The sequence below is a fragment of the Homo sapiens genome, chromosome 12, assembly GCF_000001405.40.
Source record: "Homo sapiens chromosome 12, GRCh38.p14 Primary Assembly".
In the NCBI taxonomy this organism is placed as follows: domain Eukaryota; kingdom Metazoa; phylum Chordata; class Mammalia; order Primates; family Hominidae; genus Homo; species Homo sapiens.
This window is the reverse complement of record NC_000012.12, coordinates 69,172,126-69,180,437: the sequence shown is the minus strand read 5'-3', so window position 1 is coordinate 69,180,437 and position 8,312 is coordinate 69,172,126. Positions and strand designations below refer to the sequence as shown.

At 42.6% G+C, this 8,312-nt stretch overlaps 1 annotated feature.

Moving 5' to 3' along the window:
* Nucleotides 363–563: a silencer, noted in NCBI's record as "peak1782 fragment used in MPRA reporter construct". NCBI's record gives its function as "represses an SCP1 promoter by STARR-seq MPRAs in K562 erythroleukemia cells {active_cell/tissue: K562}" and the evidence as "EXISTENCE:reporter gene assay evidence [ECO:0000049][PMID:32103011]".

Sequence of the window (8,312 nt, the reverse complement as noted above, 5' to 3'; positions counted from 1 at the left end):
TTTCAGAAAATAGCTACCTTTTTCCGAGTGCCTTCTGTGTGCCAGGCTCTGTGATGGAACTTTATATAGATAATCCCAAATCATTGCAACAATCTACAAAGTAGGTTTTACTGTCTATCTATTTTGCAGATAAGTAAAGTCATGCTCAAAGAGGCTGAGAAACAGTCCAAGGCCATCCAGCTGGTAGGAGGTTCAGTAAAAATTCTAATCCAGTTTGGTAACTCCTATCCTACCATCCCATACTGATTCTCCCAGAACAAGAAGGCTTCTGCCAGTGCCATTCACCCAAATCAACCAAAACTTGATCTTTTGGTGGAGTTTGCCACTGTGGCAGCCAGCTACTAAGGAATTGATTACCTTGCCTTGGAGTGATCTGATTTGGTTGCTATGAATGCCTGAATAAGTCAGGTAAAGACTTTGTGGTCTGTCCTGAGGACAGATGATTATCCAATGTGTGAAAGGCAATGTGAATGAGGGTGTGAAAGATAATCAGACTGAGAGCTGGTCTCCTTATTGATATCCAGGAGCAAAACTACAGAGGCAGGCTCTATAAATAGCTGTTGTAATCACCAACCAAAGGACAGTCCTTTCTTTGTGCTTAATGTGGAAAAATCTTTTGGTCACACACCAGTGGTTTCAGTAACATCTGCACATTTTTGGCTTTTGAACACAAAAACCAAATTTTAATTCAGACTAGAAGTTATTTAAGTGAATTTTTCTTCAGTTGTGCAGAAGATAAGAGGGAGAGTCAGAAGTCAACATTATAATTTATGATCTTCATGTTTCTTTTGTCAGTTTCCAGAAGAAATCAGAAAAGAGATGGTGCGTGTGTGTGTGTGTGTGTGTGTGTGTGTTTGAAGGAGTATATATTCTTATACACTTCTATATAAAAATTTCTTTTAAAATATGTTGTAAAGACAAATCATTGCATAAACCTTAGTTCAGAAAACCTAAGTCTTCTATTTCTTTAAAAATGGAGATAAAGTCTGTACCCTGCCACCAATATCATTGATTCAGTTCAAGCCAGACGTAAACAGTCTGATTACATCACTGCTGCACATCCAGCTAGCTTCTTGGTTGAGACCTTCTGAGGTGTTAATTGCAATTGTGAATTAATCATTATTCCACTGAGCCAGAGTCTTATTTTCCTCTTCAAGCTTCTCATTATTAAGTTTGCTTGAATTGGTTAATGTGAGGACATCATCAATGCAAATTATCATTCAGCAATACAATACTAAACACGCACAACTGTTTCCATTATGCACTCTATCACGTAGAATTTTACATGTGAAAAGTCATAATTAACCACCATTCTAAAATTCTCTTTTTGTTTCTTTATTATCGTTTATGTTCATGAGTTCAGGACTTTTACCAGGATCTCTTTTTCTTCTCACACACTCCGAAACCCAAAATGAAAGCCATGGTGGTTCCACTCTTTTTGGAAAGTTACTGATTTCAGAAAAGAATAGCAATAAATATTTGGTACAAGTGCTTTTCAAAAGTACTAGCTCCTCTCTGACTTTATTTACATTAACAAAGCTATTATAGTAGTCTTGCCATGATAAAAATAATTCAGCAAAACTGATAATCTATTAAGATGAGAATGTGTAATTCCACTATTTTTCAGAAGTTTTCAGTGCTGGAAATTAAGGACTTTTAATAAAAGTGCCTCTCCATCATAGCTACAGGAAAGTTGCACTTGTATCTTGGAAACCCGTGGGACTAAGAAAGGATCTAACCAGGAGAGGATTGGGAGGTTGAGTATTTGGCACTGGGGTGGGTCAGGTGCTGGGGAGGCTGATCTGGTTGCACCTGCTGATAGTGGAAGTTTTTCTAATCAGCAAGCTTGGGCATTCAGTGGATTCTAGTTTGGGCCTGTGCTTGGAAAGGAGAGAATCAACATACAGAGATTGCAACTCAGTGTTGCTGGGCGTGGTGGCTCACACCTGTAATACTAGCACTTTGGGAGGCCGAGATGGATGGATCACCTGAGGTCAGGAGTTCGAGACCAGCCTGGCCAACATGGTGAAACCCCGTCTCTACCAAAAATACCAAAAATTAGCTGGGCATGGCAGCGTGTGCCTGTAATCTTAGCTACTTGGGAGGCTGAGGCAAGAGAATTGCTTGAACCCAGGAGGCGAAGGTTGCAGTGGGCCGAGATTGCACTATTGCACTCCAGCCTGGGCAACAAGAGCAAAACTCTGTCTCAAAGAAAAAAAAAAAAAGGAAAGTCAGTGTTGAAACCACCTTTGTAAAAATTGTGTCAGTGAGAAAATTGTGACAGAGAAAGAGATCTGATCTAACCCACCCCTCCCTTGCCTTTAGCTTTCAAGCTGCCTTAATTATTCCTGATCTTAGGCTGAGCTAACTTTGGAAGACATTTAGGTCAGGGGTCCCCAGCCCCTGGGCCACACACCAGTCTCTGGCCTGTTAGGAACCAGGCTGCACAGCAGGAGGTGAGAGATGGGTGAGAGAGCAAAACTTCATCTATATTTACGCCACTCGCCGTTACCGCCTGAGCTCCACCTCTTGTCAGATCAGCAGTGGCATTAGATTCTCATAGAAGTGTGAACCCCCTTGTGTTCTGAGTATCCCTCACATACCTGGGATCTAGGCTGCACACTCCTTAAGAGAGTCTAATGCCTCATGATCTGTCACTGACTCCCATCACCCCAAATGAGCCCATCTATTTGTAGGAAAACAAGCTAAGGATTCCACTGATTCTACATTACGGTGAGTTGTATAATTATTTCATTATGTATTACAATGTAATAATAAAAGAAATAAAGCACACAATAAATATAATGCACTTGAATTATCCCGAAACTATCCCCTCCACTCTCCATGGAAAAATTGTCTTCCATAAAACCAGTCCCTGATGCCAAAAAGGCTGGGGACCACTGAGTTAGGTTATAGTTTAAATAACCTATGGTTTATTATTAAATAATCAAGGCCTATTATTAAATAATCAGGCCTATTTAATAATAGTCTTTCCCCAAAACTCAATGTGGTCAGCTGGGCGCAGTGGCTCAGGCCTGTAATCACAGCACTTTGGGAGGCTGAGGCAGGCAGATCACCTGAGGTCAGGAGTTTGAGACCAGCCTGACCAATACGGTGAAGCCCCGTCTCTACTAAAAATACAAAAATTATTCAGGCGTGGTGGCAAGGGCCTGTAGTCCCAGCTACTCAGGAGGCTGAGACAGGAGAATTGCTTGAACCCGGGAGGTGGAGGTTGCAGTGAGCCAAGATAGTGCCACTGCACTCCAGCCTGGGCAACAGAGTGAGACTCTGTTTCAAAAAAAAAAAAAAAAAATCAATGTGGTTAAGCTAATGAAAGGCCACCAACAGGCTAAGAGGAGAGGAGCCTGAATTCTGCTAAGGTGTAGACATAAATGATTGCCAGCCATTCCTGCAAATAGCATCACTATTGTAGTGTGTAAGATTGGCCCTTTGAGATATTTTTCAGGTTCTTTCCATGTCTGACACCCATGGCTCCACCTGGACATGCCAACTTTGCTCCTGCGGCCCCACCCGGAAGCAACTCAGCTCAAGAAGATAACTTCAACCCCCTATATTTCATCTCCTCCCCAACCAATTAGCAGCAAACACCCATTGCATGGCCACCCCAATCCCTTCTTCCAAACTGCCTTTGAAAAACCCCTAACCTATGAGCCTGAGATGAGATTGATTTGAGTAATAACTCTATCCCTATCTGCAGTGTAGCATGGCCAACCTCGAGTCAATTAAATTTTCTTTACTGCAAGGCTGTGGTCTTTATTTGTGCAGCAGGTGGGAAGAACCCGTTGGGCAGTTTTAGTGTCATCAAGCAAAAGGGGCTCACTGGCCAATGTGCTAGAAGTCAATACTTGATGCCAGGTTTTTGAGAAAAGAAAAGCTTTTTATTGTAAGTCAACTCCCAAGGGGACAGTAGACTAGTTCAAATTTGTTTTCCTAAGCTGGCTTTAAGGCAGTAATTTTATTAAGGAAGGTTTAGGGGGTGGATTCTAGGATTGGTAGGTGATTGGTAGAAGGAAAGGGAGGTCTGGGAAGTCTTCAGGCATGCACAGTTATCTTTTTATGTCTTTTTATGAGTCCCATATGTAAATTTGGGAGGAGTTGGCATGAAATAGCTGGTAGAAATCTAGGCTGTGAAATCAGCAAGCTTGTGCTGTGCAAACTCCAGTCAGTTACATCAGTTCTAGTTTATTTTATTCTGTTTTGTTATCTCATAAGCTGAAGGAGTTTTAGTGTTTTAGTAAGTGGGGTGTTTTGTTGTTTTTTTTTTTTAATCTGTCTTCCTGTAAATGTAAGAATTTTTGTTAGTCATTGGTTTTTTTAACTCTTTGGAGCAGGGTTTCATTAGCAGGTTCCCACTTTTTTAAGGAGGTGAAATCCAAAAAGAGTGATACTCAGAAACCTGGATGGAAGTCACCATCCAGATGATTATCAGTGAGCCACTACTTGGGATTCATGGGCTTACTCTTGGAAGGGCTGTTCCAAGGCCAGGCTCCAGGACCAGGAGGCAATAGAGTACCAGAAGGATATTCTAGAACTTTTGCTCAGAGCACTTGCAGAGCTCTGTACCCCTCACTGTACTCATCCTAGCTGTGAATACCAGTTTAATGTCTTCCCCATAAACTCCATTAAGGGCCTGAGTCCATCCTGTTTTGCCCTGTAGCCCCAGCATTCAGCACTGTGTTGTGTATTGTCACCACCCCCATCCAGGCTTTTATCAGCTCTTACCCGGATCATGGCAATAGCCTCCTTCTACTCTTTCACCTGTCCAATATATTATTCCCACAATATCCTGTGGGTTTTCTTTTTCCTTTTTTTTTTTTTTTTTTTTTTTTTTTGAGACAGGGTCTCACTCTGTTGCCCAAGCTGGAATGCAGTGGTGTGATCTCGGCTCACTGCAACCTCTGCCTCCTGGGTTCAAGCAATTCTCCTGCCTCAGCCTCCCGAGTAGCTGGGATTTCAGGGTTACACCACCATGCCTGGCTAATTTTTGCATTTTTAGTAGAAAGGGGTTTCACCGTGTTGGCCAGGCTGGTCTCAACCTCCAACTTTAAGTGATCCACCCGCCTAGGCCTCCCAAAGTGTAGGGATTACAGCCAGGAGCTACCACACCCGGCCCCACTGTGGGTTTTTAAAAATGCAAATCTATGGGCTGGGCCCAGTGGCTCATGCTTATAATCCCAGCACTCTGGGAGGCCAAAGCAGGTGGATCAGAAGGTCAAGAGATTGAGACCATTCTGGCCAATGTGGTGAAACCCTGTCTCTACTAAAAATGCAAAAATTAGCTGGAAGTGGTAGCATGTGCCTGTAGTCCCAGCTACTCAGGAGGCTGAGGCAGGAGAATCACTTGAAACCAGGAGGCAGAGGTTGCAGTGAGCCGAGATCACGCCACTGCACTCCCGCCTGGCGACAGAGCGAGACTCCATCTCAAAAATAAAAATAAAAAAATATATTTTTGCTATCACCCTGCTTGTAATCCTTCAGTGATTTTCCATCACTCTTAGGACAGAACTCAAATCCCAAACATGGTCTCCAGGCCAAGCCAGCTACTCCGCTTTCTCTGACTTCTTCATGCTATACTTTTGGCCACCTTTCTCCCAGCCTCCCTTCATCTAGTTAATGCCTTCTCATTCTTCAACTCTGTGCCTAAGGGTCATTTCCTTGGAAAAGCCTTCCTTGAAACCCTGGTCTCCCAGGCATTCATTCCAATAGCACCCTGTGCTTCTTTTTCATAACACTTTTCCCAGCTTGTCACTCATTTATTAATATCATTATTGGGGCTGGCGCGGTGGCTCACGCCTGTAATCCCGGCATTTTGGGAGGCCGAGGCGGGCAGATCACGAGGTCAGGAGATAGAGACCATCCTGGCTAACATGGTGAAACCTCGTCTGTACTAAAAACTACAAAAAAATTAGCTGGCTGTAGTGGCGGGCGCCTGTAATCCCAGCTACTCGGGAGGCTGAGGCAGGAGAATGGTGTGAACCCGGGAGGCGGAGCTTGAAGTAAGCCGAGATCACCCCACTGCACTCCAGCCTGGGCAACAGAAAGAGACTTCGTCTCAAAAAAAAAAAAAAAAAAAAATCATTATTGGATTGCCTGTTTCTCTATTTTGACTTGTAACTTCCACGAGTGCAGAGACTGTATCTGTGTTGCTCAGTACCTGGAGTGTAATGGGAACCCTAAATATATCCCGAATTAACTCACGAATACTATAGACACCAAGTCCAGTAATGAGAACTGGTGCTAGGAAAGAACTGTGGAGTTCAGGACCCTGTGGCTTATGGACTAGGCGATCTGCCAGTTATTGGAACCAGGGAGGAAGAATTTAAAGCTGTTTGACATTGCCCATCAAGAGGCGGCCAGAAAGGTGTAAGCAACTCCTGCCTCAGTTCCAGGAGTGGCTCCCTGAACTCTCCCAGCAAGCCTGGACTTCAGTACAGATGAAGATACTATAACTTGCCAGGAATCACCCAACTGGGGGATAGGGGAAGACCCAAGACTCAAACTAGCTCTAAGTTTGGGTGTCTCCTTTCACAAGGAAGAGCTGCTTTTCTTTTGTGTAAGAGCAATCAAGTAGCAGATAAGTAATTACTGCTGTGTATTTGCCCAAGACTTCTGTCCTGCTTCTGCAGGTCTGCCTCTAAGTAACAGCAGCATCTGTGTTACTCATTTATCATCCATCACGTCCAGCTTGGGGACTGAATTGTGATGACTGTTACCTAGAGATGTGTGCAGAACAGCTGTATTCCAGGCTTTGCAGTTGGTGATTTTCTTTTGCCCGTTACGGTGGGCTCAGTCACAGTGAGAATACTAATGGAGCTGCTCGGGAAGCCACATGGGAGCTTGGTCGCACGGCAGAGACACTAACAGCAAAGTGACAGGGCAGGCAGCAAGCTGGGATATGGTTGCTCCTATCTTGGGAAAGGCCTGGACAGCAGCAAAGAAACAGGCTCAGACAGAAGTGCCAGAGATGGGATGTGCAACTGCGTGTCGAACGACATCCTGCATTCCCAGCAGAAAACAATGTCAGCCATATTCACACCAGACTGGGGACTCTAGCAGAAGGAAGACACACTCCATTTTGTTATTTGCTCCAGTATGAAAGGTTTTGGTGAGAGAGAAAGCCTGTCATATTAGGAGGAGTGCGTTCCTGTGTGCAATGAATACTACTAAAGGTACTTTAAGGGATTGTAAACTTAACATTGCCTGTCCACTCTTTGCACTGCTGTGTTTCCAATGATTAAAAGAATTGCTCCTGCTATCTTTTCTGTTTGGCTTTGTTAATACACATCTTTAATTTTAAATCGTTTTGAAAAACAGAATTCACACCTAATGAGAAAACCTTTCCTTATGGAAGCAATTTCTCTTGAGCCAGTTAGAAATTGTAAAATTCTATCTTGGCTTCAGTTCCACAACATTAAAAATATACTATGCACAATGAAGGTCTCAGAAAATGATGTTTATTACCTTTTAAAAATTTACCTAGAATTCTTATTTCTAGTTGTTTACTTAAAAATGACTTTCTATATTTGTTGTCCCTTTTCAAACAATTCTAAAAGCTTTATTTCTAATATTTTTGCTAATTTCTTCTATTATCTACAAGGTTTTGTACCAAATGACCCAACTCAGACAAATGTCTTAAATGAAAGAAGTAAATGGCTGTGTGAAAGTAAAGACAAGCTGTCCCTTAATTTACAGGCTGTGGGATGTTCTTCATGTGTCCTTGGCATTCTTCAGTGAGTTCTGACTTTGAATCTAGATAGGAAATATCTGCAGCAATACGTGAATGTGTTTAGAATCAACCTTTGAAATGTTGAACCACTGTTAAATACTAAATCAATCATGTATCTGAGTCATTTAAGAAATGAGGATTATATAACACACATTTCTTCATACTATATTTTTGGAAGCTGTTACAAACTTAAGATGTTCTTTAAATAAGGCATCATATTTATCATTTATCTCAAGCCATCTTTCCCCTTAGTTGTGCATATTCTAGAAGCAGAGAACTTTCCAACATAACATCAATTCAGTGATTACGGTTGTTTTATTTATGAAAATGAAACCTTGTACTTTTTCATAGTCTTTCTTTTCTTTTTTTTTTAAACCTGTTACTATGTAAATAAGTGTCATAGAATCTCAGCATTGGAAGGGCCCTTTTGGAACTCATCTGAACAGTACAGGTGCCCTTAACATCCCCCTGTTCAGAACTTGGCCTTGGGCATTCGTGAAAGGCTCTCAGCCCTGGGGGTGGGAGCTCTTCACACCTCCCTCTGAACTTGCTTCCTGCGCCTCCT